The 21,704-nt window shown below is 53.4% G+C and overlaps 2 protein-coding genes across 34 annotated transcripts in view, besides 4 other annotated features; both read right to left on the reverse strand.

Annotated features, from left to right (window-relative positions):
- Window positions 1-1,275: 1,275 nt before the first annotated feature.
- On the reverse strand, window positions 1,276-14,073 carry MYDGF (myeloid derived growth factor). Of its 2 annotated transcripts, NM_019107.4 has the most exons (6): window positions 13,892-14,073; window positions 12,326-12,376; window positions 8,607-8,668; window positions 4,400-4,481; window positions 3,662-3,734; window positions 1,276-1,815 (listed from the first exon to the last, which is right to left on the reverse strand). In NM_019107.4, the coding sequence occupies exons 1-6, from the start codon at window positions 14,063-14,065 to the stop codon at window positions 1,736-1,738; spliced, it is 522 nt and encodes a 173-aa protein (NP_061980.1). In that variant the 5' UTR covers window positions 14,066-14,073; the 3' UTR covers window positions 1,276-1,735. The 2 variants fall into 2 exon arrangements, with proteins under 2 accessions (NP_061980.1, XP_016882476.1); XM_017026987.2 differs by lacking the exons at window positions 1,276-1,815; window positions 3,662-3,734; window positions 4,400-4,481 and adding an exon at window positions 5,437-5,809.
- Window positions 4,400-4,899: an enhancer, noted in NCBI's record as "H3K4me1 hESC enhancer chr19:4660681-4661180 (GRCh37/hg19 assembly coordinates)". NCBI's record gives its function as "activates a minimal SCP1, AML or CMV promoter by ChIP-STARR-seq in primed H9 embryonic stem cells {active_cell/tissue: H9 hESC(primed)}" and the evidence as "EXISTENCE:reporter gene assay evidence [ECO:0000049][PMID:30033119]".
- Window positions 5,201-5,971: an enhancer, noted in NCBI's record as "H3K4me1 hESC enhancer chr19:4661482-4662252 (GRCh37/hg19 assembly coordinates)". NCBI's record gives its function as "activates a minimal SCP1, AML or CMV promoter by ChIP-STARR-seq in naive H9 embryonic stem cells {active_cell/tissue: H9 hESC(naive)}" and the evidence as "EXISTENCE:reporter gene assay evidence [ECO:0000049][PMID:30033119]".
- Window positions 14,073-14,462: a silencer, noted in NCBI's record as "silent region_9901". NCBI's record gives its function as "represses an Ori minimal core promoter by ATAC-STARR-seq in GM12878 lymphoblastoid cells {active_cell/tissue: GM12878}" and the evidence as "EXISTENCE:reporter gene assay evidence [ECO:0000049][PMID:35858748]".
- DPP9 (dipeptidyl peptidase 9) overlaps window positions 18,958-21,704 on the reverse strand; it is a 48,616-nt gene continuing 45,869 nt past the window's right edge. For 30 of the 32 annotated variants that reach the window (NR_169285.1, NR_169289.1, NR_169284.1 and 27 more), the window contains one exon: window positions 18,958-20,387. Coding sequence is in view for 21 of the 32 variants with exons in the window: in NM_001384615.1 (NP_001371544.1) it covers window positions 20,295-20,387 (93 nt within the window). In the remaining 11 variants the exon portion in view is untranslated. The remainder of the gene's footprint in view (window positions 20,388-21,704) is intronic. The other 2 variants (NR_169290.1, NM_001384622.1) reach the window with 1 other exon arrangement.
- Window positions 19,702-20,662: an enhancer, noted in NCBI's record as "H3K27ac-H3K4me1 hESC enhancer chr19:4675983-4676943 (GRCh37/hg19 assembly coordinates)". NCBI's record gives its function as "activates a minimal SCP1, AML or CMV promoter by ChIP-STARR-seq in naive H9 embryonic stem cells {active_cell/tissue: H9 hESC(naive)}" and the evidence as "EXISTENCE:reporter gene assay evidence [ECO:0000049][PMID:30033119]".

Consider the following 21,704-nt stretch of genomic DNA (forward strand, 5'->3'; position numbering starts at 1 on the left):
GGATCCAGAAGCTGTGGGCGAATCCCAGCTGACCAGGAGAGAGTCCCCCTACCTTGGCCAGGGTACTGGTGGTAGGCACTGTTTCCCACGGCCTTTTCTGCACAGGAGGCCCTGGCAACCCTGTCGTGCTCATCTTCTGGGCCCCGTGGAGCCTCAGAGTCAAGAGCTGGAAAGCCTCCTGGCCTTGGCGGGGGGGTCTTCAGACCTCAGAGCACTGCCATTCTTGGTCTAGGGGCCCTTCCCGCTGATGTGTGCGGCCGTCAGTCCTTTCCTCATGTGGTGGCATCAAGTGTGTGCTGGGAAGTCAAGGCTGGCTGGTTCTTTTTCTTTTGAGACAAGGTGTCACTCTGTGGCCCAGGCTGGACTGCAGTGGCGCGATCTTGGCTCACTGCTGCCTTGGACTCCTGGGTTCAGGCGATTCTCCTGCCTCAGGCTCCTGAGTGGCTGGGATTACAGGTGTGCCCCACCACACCTGGCTAATTTTAAAATTATTTATTTTTTGGTAGAGATGGGGGTCTTGCTATGTTGCCTAAGCTGGTCTTGAACTCCTGGTGTCAAGAGATTCTCCCACCTTGGCCTCCCGAAGTGCGGGGATTCACGGGCGTAAACCATCCTGTCTGGTCTGTTTTTGTTTTTTAGTCACTGTTGCAACCCAGCTTCAAAAAACTACGGGAGGCTGGCCACAGTGGCTCATGCCTGTAATCCCAGCACTTTGGGAGGCCGAGACAGGTGGATTGCTTGAGCTCAGTTCGAAACCAGCCTGAGCAACATGGCAAAACGCTGTCTCTATCAAAAGAAGATGCAAAAATTAGCCGGGCATGGTGGCGTGTGCCTGTAGTCCCAGCTACTTGGAAGGCTGAGGTGGCAAGATCGCTTGAGCCCAGGAGGTGGAGGTTGCAGTGAGCCGTGTTACACCACTACACTTCAGCCTGGGTGACAGGAGAAGACCCTGTCTCAAAAGAAAAACAAACTAAGGGAAACCAATGCCCCAGGCTGCAGAGAGCAGGTCGGCCTTGGAACATCCTCCCGCGCTGGGGCCTGTGGCAGCCACAGAAACCCGGGTGTGAATTCACAACATGTGGGGGACCCAGGGACAGCGAGTGCCAAGGGGGGAAGGGGGCAAGTTCACATACAGCCACCTTGGGATCTAGCGCTTTGATGCCTGCAGAGAAGTCCCACCCAGAGACACCGCCCACCCGCCCACGGTGGGGCAGTGTCAGCCGCGTCTGAGCTCCTGACCCGCAACGGCCAGCCGGGAGGGCCCAGGCTGTGGGGTTGCTTTTTAATGTTCTTATTTATTTAAATATGAAAAAACATTTCATCTCTTCCCAGTTCATCTGAAAGGAGGTCCCCTGGGTAAACATAGGAAAGCAGTTCTGCAGGCTCATGAAGGATGCTCGGCTGGAGGTCGGGGGGAGCATGGCTGCTTTCCCCAGCATAGCCCCCATGTTCCCCACCCTCTTTGTGCCCCGGATCTGCGATCCTGAGTCCAGAAGAGCTCAGCAGGAAGTGGGAACTGAGAAGCTGTTGGGAGCCAGGAGGGCCCTGGACCCTCTGTTCTCTGCCCCAGGGCTTCAGCCACCCTGCAAGCCCCTCCGGACAAGGCAACGTCAGCCCAGGTAGAAAACTTAAGAGTCCCTCCTAGAAAACCAGTGATGTGCTGGCCCTTTCAGGGACACAGGCCCCTTCAGCTTCACCGGAGATGAGAAGGTGCCACCCGCAACAGGGCTGCTGGTCACAGCTCAGTGCGCGATGCCTTGGCCACAATCACCAGCTTGGACAGCTCAGCTTTGAATGCCCCGGGCCTGTGAGCCACTGCAAGAAAGAAACACATGGTTGGGCCCTCAACATTGAAAATTCTCAGAAGTCCGGAGGATTTGGGGTGGGGCCCATGGTGGGGGCTAAGCAGGCAAGGGGAGCAGTCTCCAAAGCAGACTCCCATGTGAAAAGGCCCCAGGCACTGAAAGTCTTACGGGTGACAGACAGGAAAACAGTGATGTGGAGGGTAAGGTCGGTGGGGCTAACATAGATGGCAGGCAGCAGGAAGCCACAGAAAGACCTGAGGTGGGAAGAACCCTGGTCATTTGTGCCATGTTGTCAAGAAGAGATGCAGAAAGGGGCCAGAAGAAGCCCAGGAAGGAGATGATCCCGGCCTGAACAGGATGCAGGGTGGGTCAGGCTGCAAGACCTCCTGCTCAGTGGGTGAACCTGTCTGAGGCCCTCATGACACTTCTCCAGCAGGGTCAGAACTCTGGCTTCCACTGCTTCACCCAAGTCTCCCGGCCCTACCTGCTGTGTCCACTCCCTTGGCTCCCACCCTTGCCCCAGCTCGGCGCCTCCGATTCCTCTTTCTGCTTAGCATTGGCGCCATGCAGCTGAATGTGGCTTGAGGACACCGGTGCTGCTCAGGCAACCGAAGAAGGACCCTGATGTTTCCCAGTGACCCCTGCAGCCTCCCCTCGGCATGCCACAGTCCCAACCTCAAAGCCCTGATGGTTTCTACTTTGTTTTATTTCATTTATTTATTTTTTAAAATTTATTATTTTTTTTGAGATGAGAGTCTTCCTCTGTTGCCTAGGCTGGAGTGCAGTGGTGCAGTCTCGACTCACTGCAACCTCCTGCTCCTAAGTTCAAGAGATTCTCCTGTCTCTGCCTCCTGAGTAGCTGGGATTACAAGCATGTGCCACCATCCTTGGCTAATTTTGGTATTTTTAGTAGAGAAGGGGTTTCACCATGTTGGCTAGGCTGGTCTGGAACTCCTGGCCTCCCAAAGTGCTGGGATTACAGGTGTGAGCCACCATGCCCAGCCCTGTTTATTGTTTTTGAGACAGAGTCTTACTCTGATGCCCAGGCTGGAGTGCAGTGGTGCGATCATAGCTCAATGCAGCCTCGACCTCCTGGGCTCAAATAATCCTCCCACCTCAGCCTCCTAAGTAGCTGAGACTACAGGTACACACCACCATGCCCGGCTAATTTTTTTTCTTTTTGAGACAGAATCTTGCTGTCTTCCAGGCTAGAGTGCAGTGGCATGATCTCAGCTCACTGCAACCTCCACCTCCCAGGTTCCAGCAATTCTCCTGAATAGCTGGGATTACAGGTGCGCACCACCACGCCTGGCTAATTTTTTGCATTTTTAGTAGAGATGGGGTTTCATTATGTTGGCCAGCTGGTCTGGAACTCCTGACCTCAAGTGTTCCGCCCGCCTCGTCCTCCCAAAGTGCTGGGATTACAGGCGTGAGCCACCGCACCCAGCCTGATTTTTAAAAAAATTTTGTAGAGACAGGGTCTCGCTATGTTGCCCAGGCTGGTCTTGACCTCCTGGGCTCCAATGATCCTCCCACCTTAGCCTCCTGAGCAGCTGCGGTAACAGGCATGAGCCACCGCGCCCAGCTAAGATAAAGTTCTAGTGGCACACAGCCACACCCACGCATGGACATACTGTCTGCAGCAGCTTTGTGCCACAATGGCACAGCTCTAGACAGAACCCACAGTGCCACAAAGCTGAAGATATTGACGAGGTGGCCTTTATAGAATCAGTTTGTGGATGCCTGGTCTACAGTCTCCAGGACCCCTATGGCTGACCCCCCTCTCCAAACTGCCCCGATTGCCCACCCTTGGATGGGGGTGGCGTCACCTCTACCCCATCCCCATCTTTCCGTACCTGCTGTTTTGGTCACTTCAAATTCCTCAGTTTTCAGAGGGACATCACTTTCCCTTTCAAATGCGGCTTTAGACTGAAAAAGAATGAGTGGAAACTTTACCAGGGCCAGTTCAATGCTCATCATTAGGAAAACGATTGAGTTTGCTTTCCAGAGAAGCACAGACTAAAGCTTTCTACTTTTACTAGAGATGGAGAGGAGACTTTTTTGTTTTTGAGCCAGGACCTCACTCTACTGTCCAGGCTGGAATGCAGCAGTGCAATCATAGCTCACTGCAGCTTCAAAGTCCTGGACTCAAGTGATCCTCCTGCTGCGGCCTCCTGAGTAGGTGGGACTATGGGTGCATGCCAACACGCCTGGCTATTTTTTTTTTACTTTTGGTAGATATAGGGTCTTGCTATGTTGCCTAGGCTGGAATCAAATTCCTGGCCTCCAGCAATCCTCCTGCCTCAGCCTCCCAAATTGCTGGGATTACTGGCGTGAACCGCCGCGCCTGGCCTGGAGAAGTCTTTTCTGGCATATACAAGAGAAGCCAGCAGCAACAGGTTACCAAACCCCCGTGCCCCTGGCCTGGGGGCGTCTGTGTGCCAGGTTCCTGCAAGTTACACACCCTACCTCTGCAGGATTCGCTGTCCCCTCTCCTCCCTGTCCCCATGGAGCCCTCTTGTGGCAGGACATCTCACAGCTGCCCCAGTGCACAGAAGCCACACCCGGAGCCTGCCCCACTCCAAGATACTCACGTAGGCCATGGCGTACTCAATCTCAGCGCCCCGCACCTCTGCCTTGAACTGTGTGAAGTACAGATAGGACTTCCCCTGGGGCCTGCAGAGGAAGAGGGGGCGAGGGAGTCAGGCCAGGCCTGCTGGGTCTGGGTCTGTGTGCCCTGGAAGGAGCCCCGCCAGGGACTCGGGCTGGGGTCAGCAGGTCTCGTGCCTGCTTCTCAACATGGACGCCATTCCCGAGCACGAGCACCTGCTGACTGGGAAGGATGGATGGGGCCCTCTCAACAGCAGACCCTCTTTCTTTTGTGCCAGAATTTTTTTTTTTTTTTTTTTTTGGAGACGAGTCTCACTCTGTTGCCCAGGCTGGATGGCAATGGCACAATCTCACTCACTGCAGCCTCTGCCTCCTGGGTTTAAGTGATTCTCCTGCCTTAGCCTCCCTTGTAGCTGGGAGTACAGGCACCCGCGACCACATCTGACTAATTTTGGTATTTTTAGTAAAAACATGGTTTCACCATGTTGGCCAGCCTGGCCTGAACCCCTGACCTCAAGTGATCCACTCGCCTCAGCCTCCCAGAGGGCTGTGATTAGAGGTGTGAGCCACTGTGCCTGGCCCCTTTGTGCCAGAATGTTCTTCCAGCTCATTCATAGACACGCCTCTCTCCCCTGTGGGCTGGGAGCTGCTCTGGGACAGGACCCCATGTCCATTCACTGCACATGGCTTCTTGGTTGCTGACAGCAATCCAGGTACTACGACGGGGGCTGGGGCTGGGCAATGAGAGGCCAGTAAAGGCTTCTCAGAGGGCATTGACTAGGAAGTACAGGAGTTAACTTAAGAAGTGGGGAGGATCATCTGCCCAGGTCTCTAGAAGGCTGCTAACGGAGGCTTCTAAGGAACTGGAGTGGCAGAAGGTGTCGGAAGGTGACAGCAGGGGATGATGGCATCTCTGGTGTGAAGAGAGTGTGATGGGGATGGAGGGGCAGCAGGGGGGCCATTTCTGTGGAAGCCCTGGCTGGGGTTCTATGTGCATGGGTGGGGCGGGGGTATCCAGGGAGCCCTAGATTCTTCTTTAAGCCCTAGCACTGCCAACAGCCCTGGTCAGGGAGGGTCCAGTCACTGTCTGAGATGAGGAGGCCTGGGGTGGCAGGTCTCCGGGGCTGAGCATGCCCCTGGGGAGCTTTTGTGGGGGTTGGACAGGAGGATTCAGGCTCAAGGTGAGCCCAGCCACCATCCCAACTGCTCCAGACCTGCACCTGCCCAGATGCCCTCTGGGGAGCTGGCACTCAGGGGTCCATGCAGGGCAGTGGCCTGCAGACAGACGATGGCGACCGTGGGCTTCCCCAAGACTACAGGGCGGCCTCTGCAGGGTCTCTCTGGGCTGATGGGGCCTATCTCCTCTCAATGACCCTCCTGATGCCTCCTGGGGCCTTGGCCTGCCTGTGATGCAGCCAGTTCCATGGAGTGGGTGAGAATCTCCCCAGAAACACCTGCTGTTTGTAAAGCGCCCCGCAGGGCACGGCGGGACAACACCCACACGAGGCAGCAAATCACACCCTGTCCTTCAGTTAAACGTCGCCACTCCCTGATCTCTGCCTCCCATTTGTCAACGTGCTTTAACCTGACCGCAGTGGTGGAGCTATAGCTTGGACTTCTCCCTCCAAAGTGTCTGCACAAAATAAAGGCTCAAGAAATACCCACTGTTTGGGCTGAGACATTCTGGGCCAAGGATCAGGGAAGAAGGGACAAGATTCCTGAAGCCCCCGACCCCCTCCCCACCGGGGGGCCTGACGGCTTCCTTCCCTTCATGACCTTGCCCAGATCGAGCTGGGATCTAGGCAGTGGGGTTACGAGAATGAGTGGGGCGAGTGGAGCCGGGATAAGCCCATAAACCATGAGCCTGACAGAGGATGGCGGCAGGGGCAGAATCGGGCGGTGTCTGGGGAGACTTGGGGAGGGGCTGTGGACCCAGATGCATGTGTGTTCGGGCAGGTGGAAGAGAGTGCACAGCTTTTGTCTGATTCCCAGATGTCTGCACCCCAAGAAGGCTATGAGCCATCAGGCTGGTCCTTCAGAGAACATGCTGGTAAAGACCTGCCTGAGGGGAAACAGCTGGGGCCCCTTCTGGTGGGACACATTCCCCGGGAGATAGCATCATCCAAACCTCCACAGCCACTACCCCACAGACTCCCACACCTGCCACCTGCCTAGCTCGTCCCCAGCCCAGACCTGCACCAGCTCCGCCAGTTCCACCAGGACTCTGCCCAGCACCTTCCTCCTCCTCCTACCCCAGCTAGCTGATTCCACAGCCTCCAATCTGTGCCCTCCCCTCCTCCCTGTCCTCATTTTACACAGCCTCCAGTCTGTGCCTTCCCCTCCCACTCCGTCCTCATTCTACAGCCTCCAATCTACTCTCCCCACCCCACTCCATCCTCATTCTACAGCCTCCGATCTACATTCCCCACCCACCTCATCCTCATTCTACAGCCTCCAATCTACCCTCCCCACCCGTCCTGTCCTCATTCTACACAGCCTCCAATCTACCCTCCCCACCCGTCCTGTCCTCATTCTACACAGCCTCCAATCTACCCTCCCCACCCACCCCATCCTCATTCTACAGCCTCCAATCTGTGCCCTCTCCACCCATCCCATCCTCATTCTACACAGCCTCCAATCTACGCTCCCATCCACCCCATCCTCATTCTACAGCATCCAATCTACTCTCCCCACCTACCCCATCCTCATTCTACACAGCCTCCAATCTGTGCCCTCTCCACCCACCCCATCCTCATTCTACACAGCCTCCAATCTACCCTCCCCACCCCATCCTCATTCTACAGCCTCCAACCTGTGCACTCTCCACCCACCCCATCCTCATTCTACACAGCCTCCAATCTATCCTCCCCACCCACCCCACCCTCATTCTACACAGCCTCCAATCTACCCTCCCCACCCACCCCATCCTCATTCTACAGCCTCCAATCTACCCTCCCCACCTCATCCTCATTCTACAGCCTCCAGTATACCCTCCCCACCCACCCTGTCCTCATTCTACACAGTCTCCAATCTGTGCTCTCCCCACCCACCCCATCCTCATTCTACAAAGCCTCCAATCTACCCTCCCCACCCACCCCATCCTCATTCTACACAGCCTCCAATCTGTGCCCTCTCCACCCACCCCATCCTCATTCTGCACAGGCTTCAATCTGCGCCCCACCCCCAACCCCCGACTCCATCCTGGTTGGTGCCTGGAGGGGCTCCCTGCCTCAGCCTGCCTCCTTCAGCCGGGGGGATCTGAGCTCCACATGTTCCTGCAGGGAGCCCTCTGGAATAGGACTCAGCCAGGAAAAGAAATGAGGCTGACACGGGCCTCAGCATGGATGAGCCTTGAGGACGTCACGTTCAGTGAGAGACGCCAGACACCAAAGGCCACACAGGGAAGGTTTGACCCCATTTCTATGCAATGTCCAGGACACGCCCATCCACAGAGACAGGAGGGGGATGCGTGGCTGCCATGTGCTGGGAAGGAGAATGACTCTGATGGGAACAGAGTTTATTTTCAGGGGATGAAAATGTTCTGGAAGCAGAGGTCTGGCTGCACACCTCTGAGAAAGTACTCCATGCAGCTGAATTGTGAGCTTAAAATGCTGTGCTTTATGGAATTTTATCTCAGTTTTTAAACATTGCCAAAAAGGGTCAGGCATGGTGGCACACGCCTGTAATCCCAGCTACTCAGGAGGCTGAGGGAGGAGAATCGCTTGAACCCAGGAGGCGGAGGCTGCAGTGAGCCAAGATTGCTCCACTGCACTACAGCCCGGGCAAAAGATGGAGACTCCATCTCAAAAAAAAAAAAAAAAAAATTGCCAAAAAGCCCTTTGGTGAGTTCGTCTCACCCTTAGGGGAGGGTGGAGCCCCTTGGGGCCTTCCTGGGCCCTGGTCCACGCTCCGCACCCTCTGAGCTGCTTCTCCTTTTCCTGGGACCTTGCCCCGCACAGGCTCCCCCCGTCTCCCCCAGACCTTCTCAGTCTCTGCATCAGTGCACTTCCTTGGGGAGCACTCCCACCCCAGCGACCCTGCCACCCCCCACCTGCACGTGCATGAGTCTCCCTGCTGGTCTGTCTTCCCCTCCAGGGGTGCAGCCCTCGTTCCCTGCCTTCCAAAGCAGCTCCTGAGGCCACAGGGCAGGCCAACGGCAGCCGGAAATGCCATCCCCACCCCGAGTCTCACCTCCAGATGGTGCAGGTGAAGTGCTGGTGGTCTTCGCTGGTCCCCAGACTCATCTGCCATTGCTGGGGAGAGAAGACAGCGCGGGTCAGCCCCGGACACACAGCTGCTCTCGGAGACTTCTAGGTGTGCCTCTGATTCTACAGTCAGGCCACCTCTTCTGTACCTCCCGATTCAGGGGCTGGCCACTAAATCCCCTGCCCCGCCCTCCTGGTGGCCTGGGGTTTGCTGTCATCTGTGATCAGGGAGCCTGCCTGCACCACATCCTTCCCATAAAAGTGGTGCCTCTAATGAGAACTACCCCAAAGTGGCTCCCACGGATGGGGAAATAGGAACAACGCTGTTTGTTTGTTTGTTTGTTTGTTTTTGAGATGGAGTCTCTCTCTGTGGCCTGGGCTGGCGTGCAGTGGCACGATCTCGCCTCACTGCAACCTCTACCTCCTGGGCTCAAGCGATCCTCCCACCTCAGCCTCCCAAGTAGCTGGGACCACACCCAGCTAATTTTTGTGTTTTGTAGAATCACTGTCTTGCCATATTGCCCAGGCTGGTCTCAACCTCCTGGCCTCAAGCAATCCTCCCACCTTGGCCTCCCAAAGTGCTGAGATTACAGATATAAGCCACCATGCCAGGCCTAAGAACAACTCTTAAACATATAAATAGATGTCCAGGCCGGGCGCGGTGGCTCACGCCTGTAATCCCAGCACTTTGGGAGGCCGAGGCAGGCAGATCACGAGGTCAGGAGATCAAGACCATCCTGGCTAACATGATGAAACCCCATCTCTACTAAAAATACAAAAAATTAGCCGAGCGCAGTGGTGGGCGCCTGTAGTCCCAGCTACTCGGGAGGCTAAGGCAGGAGAATGGCGTGTACCCGGGAGGCGGAGCTTGCAGTGAGCTGAGATCGCGCCACTGCACTCCAGCCTGGGCGACAGAGCGAGACTCTGTCTCAAAAAAAAAAAAAAAAAAAAAAAAAAAAAAAGATGTCCCATATCATTTATGAAAAATAAATAAACACAAGCTGAACTATCGTGAGATACCTTTTTCTCCCAGGTCAGAAGGGCAAAAGCCCTCCTGTCTGCTAACACACCATATGGGTGTGAAAACCAAGACTATTCCAGGTTGTCGGTGGAGCTGCAACAGGTACAAGCAAAATGGAAAATGCAGGCTGGGCATGGTGGCTCATGCCTGTAATCCCAGCACTTTGGGAGGCCAACGTGGGATGATCACTTGAACCCAAGAGTTCGAGACCAGCCTGGGCAACATAGCGAGACCCCATCTCTAAAATGACTGGCCTCTTGCACGATGTTACCACCGGGGAACCTGGTTAAACGGTACTTGGATCTCTCTGTAGGATTTCTTACAAGTGAATGTAAATCTACCATGATCTCAAAACATACAGTTTTACTTTTTTTTTTTTTTTTGAGATGGAGTCTCGCTCTGTCACCCAGGCTGGAGTGCAGTGGTGCGATCTCAGCTCACTGCAACCTCTGCCTCGTGGGTTCAAGCGATTCTCCTGCCTCAGCCTCCTGAGTAGCTGGGATTACAGGCGCGTGCCACCACGCCCTGCTAACTTTTGTATTTTCAGTAGAGATGGGGTTTCACCATCTTAGCAAGGCTGGTCTCAAACTCCCAACCTCAGGCGATCCACCTGCCTTGGCCTCTCAAAGTGCTGGGATTACAGGCGTGAGCCACCGCGCCCAGCCCAGTTTTACTTTTAAGAAAATGGACCCATGAATCCCACTTCTGGGTGGTTTTCCCACAGATGTAACTGCACTTGTACAATGAACCCTGGCCAAGGTTATTCACGGACTGGGTTGGAAGTAACCCTCAATCCATTAGTACGGGATTGTCAACTCCACACGTCCATGCAACTGAAGCGCTTTACATAGGATACAGAAAAATCTCTAGGAGGCCGGGCACCGGTGGCTCACACCTGTAATCCCAGCACTTTGGGAGGCCGAGGCAGGCTGATCATTTGAGGTCAGCAGTTCAAGATCAGCCTGGCCAACATGGCGAAACCCATCTCAAGGTGTTGACCGGGCTAGGCTCTTACTGGTAGCTCAAGGTCCTCTTCCAAGCTCTTGTGGTTGTGGCAGATTTCAGTTCCTCTTGGTTGCGGGACTGAAGTCTTCATTTCCTTGCTGCCAGCCAGAGGCTGTTCTCAGCTCCTAGAGGCCGCGTGTATTCCCTGCCCTGCAGTTCCCTCAAGGGCAGCAGTGGCGTATGTGTCCATGTGCTTCAAATCACCCTTTTTTTTTTTTTTTTTTTTTTTTTGAGACAGAGTCTCGCTCTGTCGCCCAGGATGGAGTGCAGTGGCGCGATCTTGGCTCGCTGCAAGCTCCGCCTCCCGGGTTCACGCCATTCTCCTGCCTCAGCCTCCCCAGTAGCTGGGACTACAGGTGCCCACCAAAACACCCGGCTAATTTTTTGTATTTTTAGTAGAGACGGGGTTTCACCGTGTTAGCCAGGATGGTCTCGATCTCCTGACCTTGTGATCCACCCGCCTCGGCCTCCCAAAGTGCTGGGATTACAGGCATGAGCCAGTGCGCCTGGCTCGCCCGGCTAATTTTTGTAGTTTTAGTAGAGACGGGGTTTCACCATGTTGGCCAGGCTGGTCTGGAGCTCCTGACTTCAGGTGATTCGCCAGCCTTGGCCTCCCAAAGTGCTGGGATTATAGGCATGAGCCACTGTGCCTGGCCCAAATCATCTTTACTGGCTCTTCTGCCACCAGCTGGAGACAACAGCCAGCAAGGAAACCGGGACCTTGGTCCCTGAACCACAAGTAACTGAATTCTGCCAACTAAGAGCTTGAAGGAGAGGATTCTTCTCCCAGCCCAGAGACTTTTTTTTTTTTTGAGACAGGGTCTTGCTCTGTTGCCCAGTAGCACAATCACGGCTCACTACAGCCTTGACCTCCTGGGCTCAAGCGATCCTCCCACCTCAGTCTCCCAAGTAGCTGGAACCACAGGTGCACGCCACCACGCTGGGCTAATTTTTTTATTTTCTGTAGAGATGGGGCATGAGCCACCATGCCTTGCCTGTGATACCTTTATTTATTTATTATTTATTTTTTGAGACAGAGTCTCGCTCTGTTGCCCAGGCTGGAGTGCAGTGGCACAATCTTGGCTCACTGCAACCTCCGTCTCCTGGGTTCAAGTGATTCTCCTGCCTCAGCCTCCTGAGTAGCTGGGACTACAGGCATGTGCCACCATGCCCAGCTAATTTTTGTATTTTTAGTAGAGATGAGGTTTTGCCATGTTGGCCAGGCTGGTCTCGAACTTTGACCTCAGGTGATCTGCCCGCCTCAGCCTCCCAAAATACCTTGAGTTTGGTTTTATGAAGCACACAACTGAGCTGACCCAGACTTCTGACCTACAAAGCTATGAGATAATAAATGGGTGCTGTTTTAAGCCCCTAAGCTGTGATAACTTGTTGCACTGCACATAAAATACAACATCCCAACAGATGCTCATGGGGATGGCAGACTCCCATCTCCCCTCCCTCCTTCTGTCCAGACATTTGCTTGCTCTGTAGAATAATAACAGCAGAATCTGTCGTCACTGTTTAATGCCAATACTCTCCCTTTTTATTGGTTTAGGAAGAGTCATTCAATGAGTGTAAGGTGATATAGGTGAGACCCAACCCTGCTGTCTGCTACAGAACATCTCCCTACAACAATGGATACTGTCACAGTAAGCTAGAGGGAATTTTGAACAACTCACCTCATTGGTCCCTCCTTGAGAGGCGTAAGTGAACATACACGTATATTTGTCCTAGAGAATGGAAGGAAAAAAAAGGTTTGGTAGAAGGAAATTTTTATTTTGTTTAAGAGACGGGGTCTTGCTGTCACCCAAGCTGGAGTGCAGGGGCACAATGACAGCTCACTGCAGCCTCGAACTCCCAGGTTTGAGTAATCCTCTTGCCTCAGCCTCTCAAGTAACTGAGACAATAGGTACGCAACCACCACACCCGACTAATTTTTTTTTTTTTTTTTGAAGCAGAGTCTTGTTCTGTCGCCCAGGCTGAAGTGGGATGATCTCAGCTCACTGCAACTTCTGCCTCCCGGGTTCAAACGATTCTCCTGCCTCAGCCTCCTGAGTACTTGGGATTACAGGCACCTGCTACCACACCTGGCTAATTTTTCGTATTTTTGTAGAGATGGGTTTTGCCATGGGACCTGGACAAGTGAAAACTTTTCTGAGCCTCTAGTTTCTCTCTGTTTCTCTTTTTTATGTGAAGCATTTTCTCATCTGTAACTTGGGCCTAACATATAAAGGACTTGGCATCACACCTAACTATAAGGAAGTAGTCAACAAACTGGCCTGGCACAGTGGCTCACGCCTGTAATCCCATCACTTTGGGAGGCCGAGGTGGGCGGGTCACCTGCGGTCAGGAGTTCAAGACCAGCCTGGCTAACATGGTGAAATCCCATCTGTACTAAAAATACAAAGATTAGTAGTCCCAGCTACTTGGGAGGCTGCGGCAGGAGAATGGCATGAACCTGGGAGGCAGAGGTTGCAGTGAGCCAAGATCGCGCCACTGCACTCCAGCCTGGGCGACAGAGTGAGGCTCCATCTCAAACAACAACAACAACAATTATCCGGGTGTGGTGGCACACGTCTGTAATCCCAGGTACTGGGGAGGCTGAGGCAGAAGAATTGCTTGAACCCAGAAGGCTAAGGATGCAGTGAGCCGAGATCCCGCCACTGCACGCAAGTCTAAAAAGAAATAGTCAAAAAACAGTAAAGATACTGTTATTACAGGCGGGGAAAGGGAGGCTGAGAGGGGAAAGGACTTTGCCGACAAGCTGAGTACAGGGCTGAGGGCCCGGCCTCACACCCTCGGTGAGGGGGGACCTTGTGCAATGGAAGGAAGGAGCACTTCCTCCCTCTTCGGAGCTGCAGCGACTGATTTCCTTCAGGCCCAGGAGGGCAGATGCCCTTTAGCCTCCTGCCGCTCCCATCACTGACCCCTCCCCACCTCTGCGTCTGGAGGGCAGGGGTGCCTGGACACTCCAGGCAGGCGACAGGTGACAGGTGATCACGCCCCCTCAACGCCGCCGGGGCCCACAAGGCCCCGCTCCCTATGAGTTCAGTCCTGCCCCAGTGATGACCCCGGCCTCACGGTCCCGCGCCCCCCACTCAGCCTCCGACCCTAACAATCCGCACCCCTTCTTCAGTACCCACCTCCGCGGTCCGCGCCCCCTCCTCGGGCCCCGCCCCCAATGCTCCGCGCCCCCTCCCCGGGCCTGCCAGCACTCAAATATCCGGGACGGCGGTGGCACGTACCCCCGGGCCCACGTTATGGGAGAAGGAATGCACGACGCCGCCGGGCCGCACGTCAAACGCCACCGTCGTGGGCTCGGACACCGCCTCCGCCGGCCTCAGCGCCACGGCCCCTAGGAGCAGCGCGGCCCACAAGCTCGCGCCGACGCCGTTCCACCCTCCGCTGGGCGCCGCCATGTTGGACTAGGGTCCTCAGGGCAGGGGCGGGTAGACGGGGCGCGGCGAGGGACACGTGGAGCGTCCGCCGGAGGCCACGTCGGCGTCGGCTGTCCACGTGACCCGGCACGCCCCGCCCTGTCCACCGCCCGGGGCCACCATCTTGGGGGCGGGACTTTGTCGAGGGGGCGGGACTTTTGCCGAGGGGGCGGGGCCGCCGAGGGGGCGGGGCCGCCGAGGGGGCGGCCTCGTACCCTAGGGACCCTGCGTAGCCCGGCGATCCTTGGAGGGTCCCTCAGGTGGTAATGGAGTTCGTTTTGGGGTCTCAGGGTCCCTCACCAGCCGTGTGACTGACTGCAGCTCTTTCAGTTAGGAGATGTACAGGGAGTGAGGGAAATCGAAGGTCACCATTAGGCGAACTTCTCATAATCGTTGCAGCCAAGATGTGTGTGCATCGATATTCAAAATTAGCAGAGGGAAAGTAGGATGAGAAGCAGGATGCTTGCTTTTGTTTCCCTCTTGTTGCCCAGGCTGGAGGGCAGTGGCGCGATCTCGGCTCACTGCACTCTCCGCCTCCCAGGTTCAAGTGATGCACCTGCCTCAGCCTCCCGAGTAGCTGGGACTACAGGTGTTCACCACCACCCCTGGCTAATTTTTGTATTTTTAGTAGAGACAGGTTTTCACCATGTTGGCCAGGCTGGTCTTGAGCTCCTGACCCCAAGTGATCCGCCTGCCTCGGCCTTCCAAAGTGCTGGGATTACAGGTGTGAGTCATCACGCTCGATCAGTCTGTGTATTTGTTAATAGGATTATGTGGGTGTTCACTTCCTGGCTTTGATAACCTGGCTTGTCCTAGGGGTTACAGACGATGTTCACATTAGGGGGAGTTGGATGAAGCGTATTAGGAAACCCTACAGTTTCTGCAGATTTTCTGGGAGGCAAAAATTATTTCAAAATAAAAAGTTAAAAAGAAAATAATCCCTACCTCAAGGAGTTGTTGGGAGGAGTAAGTGAGGGAATTAAGTTCCCACACCGGGACGAATGAACTGAGAATTATATATTGTAGCTATTGCTATCATTAGATCCCAGGTTTTCAACTAGAGAAGGAAGTCATTCTTTGGTTACAAATGGCTTAACATTTCAAGAAAACACCAGTGGCCAGGCCTGGGGGGTCAATAATTAAGCTGGTGTTTCTAGTCCTTCCCAACTGGCAAAAAACAGAATCCAGAGAGAAAACGTCATAGATGACTCCTAAGATGGGTTATAATTCACCCTTTGAGGAATTAAATCACTCTACTCCATAGCTACGGAGGGTGGTGAGCCCCAGGGAGGTGAGAAGGATCCCCGTGGAGGCTGACTCCTCTGCCAATGACAGAAGTCCAAGCCAGTTGCCTTTCTGCAGTGGCAGCCTGTTCTAAATTGGGATACCTGCTTGCGTTAGGAAATTTATTGGCCGGGCGTGATACTTCATGCCTGTAATTCCAACCCTTCGGGAGGCCAAGGTGGGTGGATTGCTTGACCTCAGGAGTTCTAGACCATTCTGGGCAACATAGTGAGACCCCATTCCTATATATATATTCATATATTCACATATGTGAATATATATATTCATATATTCACATATGTGAATATATATATTCATATATTCACATATGTGAATATATATATTCATATATTCACATATGTGAATATATATATTCATATATTCACATATGTGAATATATATTCATATATTCACATATGTGAATATATATTCATATATTCATATATACTTATATATTCATATATTCATATATACTTATATATTCATATATATGAATATATATTCATATATTCATATATATGAATATATATTCATATATTCATATATACTTATATATATATTCATATATTCATATATACTTATATATATTCATATATTCATATATATGAATATATATTCATATATATGAATATATATATTAATATATTCATATATATATACTTATATTCATATATTCATATATATACTTATATTCATATATTCATATATATACTTATATTCATATATTCATATATATACTTATATATATTCATATATTCATATATATACTTATATATATTCATATATTCACATATATACTTATATATATTCATATATTCATATATATACTTATATATATATATATTTAAAGATATTTTAAGATTATTTTTTAAAGATAGCCGGACATGGTGGTGGGCGCCTGTAATCCCAGCTACCTGGGAGGCTGGGGCAGGAGAATCTTTTGAACCCAGGAGGCATAGGTTACGGTGAGCTGAGATCATGCCACTGCACTCCAGCCTGGGTCCCAGAGCAAGACTCCGTCTTAATAAATAAAGAAATAAACAAACAAATCTCTTCCTCCATGCAGCTGTCTGTTCTGGACCCATGAGACACTGTCTCCATAAACTGGACAAGCACAGAGCAGCCCTGTTCCTTAGGTGAGTGACACAGCACGGTTCCACTGATGGAGTCCCCATTACCTTACCACGGTGTTCAACTTTCAGCCTGTCACCATGAAGGATTCGATGCATGGCCGAGCTCTGCGGCTAACAAGGAATTTCAGTTGTGAGCTGTTGGGAGTCTGCTACGGAACCCAGGCAGGTTGTGCGTATGCGTGTGCATGCGTGTGTGTGTTCTTTCCAGAAAGGTTTCGGCCCCAAGTTTCACCCACCCACCACAAATCATCACACTAAAAGGATTAAAAGAAAAAACAAGGCTGGCCCCAGTACTTTGGGAGGCAGATCACTTTGAGCTCAGGAGTTTAAAAACTGCCTGGGCAAGATGGCAAGACACCGTCCCTATAAAAAATACAAAAACATTAGCTGGGCATGATGGCTTGTGCCTGTAGTCCCACTTACTTGGGAGGCTGAGGCCAGAGGATGACTTGAGCCATGGAAGCAGAGGTTGCAGTGAGCTGAGATTACACCACTGCACTCCAGCCTGGGTGACAGAGCGAAACCCTGTGTCCAAAAAAAAAAAAAAAAAAAGGAAAGAAAGAAAAAGAAAAGAAAACAAGGCTGGACACAGTGGCTCTTGTAATCTCAACACTTTGGGAGGCCAAGGTGGGAGGATCACTTGAGCCCAGGAGGTCGAGGTTGCAGTAAGCTGTGATTATACCACTGCATTCCTGCCTGGGTGACAGAGGAGCAAACAACAAATTATTCCACGGATCCCACTAATCATGATATGAAATCTGTCAGTCCTAAAGGACAAGATTCGATCACACAAATATTAGATTATTTATTTATTTTTTTTTTTAAATTTGAGACAAGGTCTTGCTCTGTCGCCCAGGCTGAAATGCAGTGGTAGTTTCAGCTCCCTACAGCCTTAACCTCCTGGGCTCAAATGATCCTCCCACTCAGCCTCCCAAGTAGCTGGGATTACAAGGCATGCAACACTCACCCAGCTATTATTATTATTATTTTTTTGTAGTGATGGGGTTTATGCCATGTTGCTGTGGCTAGTCTCAAACTCCTGTGCTCAAATGATTCACCCACCTTGGCCTCCCAAAGTGCTGGCATTATAGGTGTGAGCCACTGTGCCTGGCCTCCTTTTTGTGTGTGTGTGTGTCTGTGTGAGACAGGGTCTCACTCTGTTGCCCAGGCTGGAGAAACCTCCTCAGCTCACTGCAACCTCCTCCTCCTCCAGGGCTCAAGTGATCCTCCCACTGCAGCCTCCTGAGTAGCTGGGACTACAGGCGTGCACCATTGCGCTGGGCTAATTCTTCAATTTTTAGTCGAGATGGGGTTTCACCATATCGCCCAGGCTGGTCTCAAACTCCTGGGTTCAAGTGATCTGCTGGCCTCAGCCTCCCAAAGTATTGCGATTACAGGCGTGAGCCACCACACATGGCCTTTTTTTTTTTGAGGCTGATCTCAAATGCCTGGGCTCAAGCCAACCTCTCGCCTTGGCCTCCTGATTAGCTGCGATTACAGGTGGAGGCCACTGTGCCTGAGTCCCCTAAATATCATTTTGTACTGGAATTTTTTTCTTTTTTATACTTCCTTTTTGATGTTGTTGTTGTTGTTTTGGAGACTAGGGTCTTACTCTGTCACCCAGGCTGGAGTGCAGTGGCATGATCACAGCTCACTGCAGCCTCGACCTCCCGAGACTAAAGTGATCCTCCAGCCTCAACCTCCTGAGTAGCTGGGACTGCAGGCATGCGCCACTACACCCAGCTAATTTTTGTTTTTGTAGAGCCAGGGTTTCACACCATGTTGCCCAGGCTGGTCTCCAACTCCTGGACTGATGCAATCCACCCATCTTGGCATCCAAAAGTGCTGGGATTACAGGTGTGAGCCACCACGCCCGGCCTCGTATGTTTTTTTAAGCCCCCCCCCCCCTTTTTTTTTTTTTAAAAAAAGTGGAAATTTCCAAAGGATGGAGCAAGTGGATAAGCAGGGCAGTCCATCCCTGCTGTTAGAAATGGAGCCCACATGCCCCGCACGTTGCAAACAGGGTCTGCTGGGTGTCTTGGCTGCTGGGACGATGTGAGGAGGGCCTTGGCCTGTCGTGGTCCTCAGGGTGCAGAGTCTCAGGTAGAAAAGGAGGTGTTGGCTGGGGGAGGATCCAGCATGGAGGATGCTGTAATTTGGGTTGTGCTGAGGCTCTGGGGAGCCCGGGGGGCCAGTCCAGGCCACACACGACAGCCAGAGCTGAGTCCCTGGAGACCGGTAGACCTTCCTAGACCAGCGAGGACAGGACTACCCTCATCAGGTGGCTGGGGCCATCCTCTGTGGGTCAGTCTGATCAGGGCATGGTGCCCAGGCAGCCCCAGCACCCCAGGAGTCCCCACAGATGGCAGTGCCCTTCTGCCATGTCTTGTCTGTTGCCCCCCGGAAGCCCCTCCCACTCAGGAGCCCCAGGACTTAGAAGGAACCTCAGGCAGGTGACATGTTTCCAACTGGAATCGTTTAATGTGTCTACTTCTTCCACGCATAATTATAAAAGAATAAGAATCGACAAAAATATTTTCTTTCCATAATATGTAGAGGTGGTTTGTTTCTTTTTTTTTTTTTTCTTTTCTTTTTACTTTTTTTTTTGCCCGCCCCTGGCAGAGCTCTTGGCGGGGAGGGAAGGGGAGAGGGAAATATAACCCTGAGGTGGGGATGGTTCAGCTCCCAACCCCGGAACCCCTGGTGTGTACGGGTCAGGCAGACACATGTGGCTGGGCGGCTGGGCTGGGGAGGGGACAGCCGCCACTGACCAGCAGAGCGTGGAAGTTCGGTGCGTTTCAGTGCCTGCCTGAAAGCTTGGGGACAGGAGGGCTGTCCACAGGTGGTGCCCCCCGCGGGCCCTGGCCGCTTCTCCTGTGGGGCCCGCATGACCCTCTGCTCGGGCTTGGGAAGAAATGGAGCCTACCAGGTGCTGGGTTGCAACCCCGCTGCCCGGTGTGGACCCCAAGTCTAGATTTAGGCACCCCTTGCTTTCTGTCTTTTATTTTTTATTTATTTTGAGACAGAGTTTCGCTCTTGTTGCCCAGGCTGGAGTGCAATGGTGCGATCTTGGCTCACCGCAACCTCCACCTCCCGGGTTCAAGCGATTCTCCTGCCTCAGCCTCCCGAGTAGCTGGGATTATAGGCACGCGCCACCACACCCGGCTAATTTTTTGTATTTTTAGTAGAGACGGGGTTTCCCCATGTTGGCCAGGCTGGTCTTGAACTCCCAACCTCAGGTGATCCGCCCGCCTCAGCCTCCCAAAGTGCTGGGATTACAGACGTGAGCCACCGCGCCCGGCCTGTCTTTTAAATAATTATGAAAAATATCCCCCCAAACAAAACACAAACATCAAGTTGGGGAGGCTGGCCGGGGGGGACAGGCAATTGCATGCTTGGGTGCTGGGGACGGTGGCTGGCCGGGCCAGGGGACTGAGAGGTCACAGGGAGCCCCAGGCGGAAGGCAGCCCGCTCCTCTGAGTCTCTTCTGGCCTCTCCAGTGCCCATCAGCGTGTGACCTCCTCCTCCCAGAAGGCGGGGAGAGGAGGGGCTGGCCCGAGACCACCATCTCTCTGTCTCGGCAACCAAGAAGCAGCGGACATAAAACCCAAGAGCGTTTAAAAAAGGATAAAAGGCGTCGGGGCGGTGAAGGCAGCGGCTCCTCGGGGCTGGCCAGCGCTGGGCGGGACAAAGTGCCTCACTGGGGCCCGCGGGCCACTCAGTCCCTCCCGCCTGGTTCCCCGCGGAGGCTGCAGCCACTTGTGCTGTGATGTGGCGGCTCCCGGTGGGCAGGCTCAGAGGTATTCCTGTAGAAAGTGCAGCAACGTGACTTCATAGTGCTCGCCCGACTCGGGGCAGCGAATACTGTGTCTCTCGTTGGGGTAGATCTGCGGGGAGACAGGAGGCAGGGCTGGGGGGCGTGGCCGGACCACCCCCGTGTCCTAGGCTCCTCCCTTATTCTGGCTCAGGGCATCCGGGAAGGCGCAGGTGCTCTGAGGCCCAGTGATCTGGGTTTGAATCCCACCTCGGCTGTTGACTTGCAGTGTAACTCTGGGCCTCTCTAAAAAATGGGGTGAATCCGGACCTCACAGTCTTTGGGAGGATTTGGTAAGACAAAGTTTACAAAACGCCTTGCGGTGTGCACGCGCTTGCACAGAGGAAAGATTTAGGAAGAAACCGTTTGCCTCTTTCCCCCAAACCGGCTGACGGGCGACCAACTCATCTCTGTGGAGGTGGCTGAGGCTTCAAGCCTCAGGGACATCTGGTGCCCTGGTCTCGAGCCATTTCCACTTTACCAAAAGGCATGTGACTAGCTCTGGGCCTTAGGACAGCTGCCTGTGAGGATTTGTGAAGCATTTTCTGGGTCCTCTTAGCGCCCAAGGGGGATCAAGCCAAGAGGCAGGCAGTAACATGGAACTCCCCAGGCTCCTGAGACCTGGACCAGCCAACGCCAGGCCTGGGGGTGGATCCACACGGGGATGCAGGTCCTGCCTCTGGCCACGAAGGAGGGCTCTCGAGGCACTGACGGACAACCCCTATAGCTCCCCACTGCCCCCTAGGGGTTGGTAGGACCAAGGCATGAAAATAACCCTACGTTCTCCACAAAGAACCCCGGGGCTGGCCGGCAGCAGGGGCAGGTGGCCCATCTACGCCACCTCCTGCCAGTGAGATGGGTTTCTGAATCATCCCCTCCTCTCCAGGCTCCTGGTCCCCACTGTTGCCCATCACCCTGGGAATGCACCAAGCCACCCACTGGTTTCCCCTCCTCTACTCTTGCCTTCTTTAATCCATCCCTGGATGAATCACGAGTTTGATGACACCGTCCCCAGCCTAGACCTCTGCAAGGACTTGCCAGTCTGACATCAAGACCAGCTTCCAGGTCCTGCTGCCCCAGGCACTTCAAGGGCCCACTCCTTCCCCAGCCCGGGCAGTGGCACTCCCTGGGGCAGACTCTGCTGCCCTTGACACCAGCCATATGCACATGTTGTGCCCATGCCTTTATGCCACTCTGGGTCCCAGCTGCCTGGTTACTTTTTCCTCTTGGCTAAGAGGGCAGATAGAGGGTCTGTCTGGCTCCCCAATGAGCTTCCAGACCAAGCCCAAGGCCCGGCATGTGACAAATGTGATTTGTGTATAAAGAGGGCCTGGGGCCGCCAGCTGCCTGGCCCAGATGTTTTGGGGTCTTTGAAACAGAAGGAGAGGTG

Source organism: Homo sapiens, chromosome 19 (assembly GCF_000001405.40).
Source record: "Homo sapiens chromosome 19, GRCh38.p14 Primary Assembly".
NCBI classification, from domain to species: Eukaryota; Metazoa; Chordata; class Mammalia; order Primates; family Hominidae; genus Homo; species Homo sapiens.

Bases quoted from the DNA above. Each gene is read 5' to 3' on its own strand.
- MYDGF (XM_017026987.2), bottom strand. From the start codon at position 14,065: ATGGCGGCGCCCAGCGGAGGGTGGAACGGCGTCGGCGCGAGCTTGTGG. The intron at 8,669-12,325 runs GTGAGTTGTTCA...TTCTCTCCCCAG, and splicing joins CTCAAGGAGGGACCAATGAG to CAATGGCAGATGAGTCTGGG. The intron at 5,810-8,606 runs GTGAGACTCGGG...AGGCAGGCCAAG, and splicing joins TTCACCTGCACCATCTGGAG to GCCCCAGGAGGCATCAGGAG.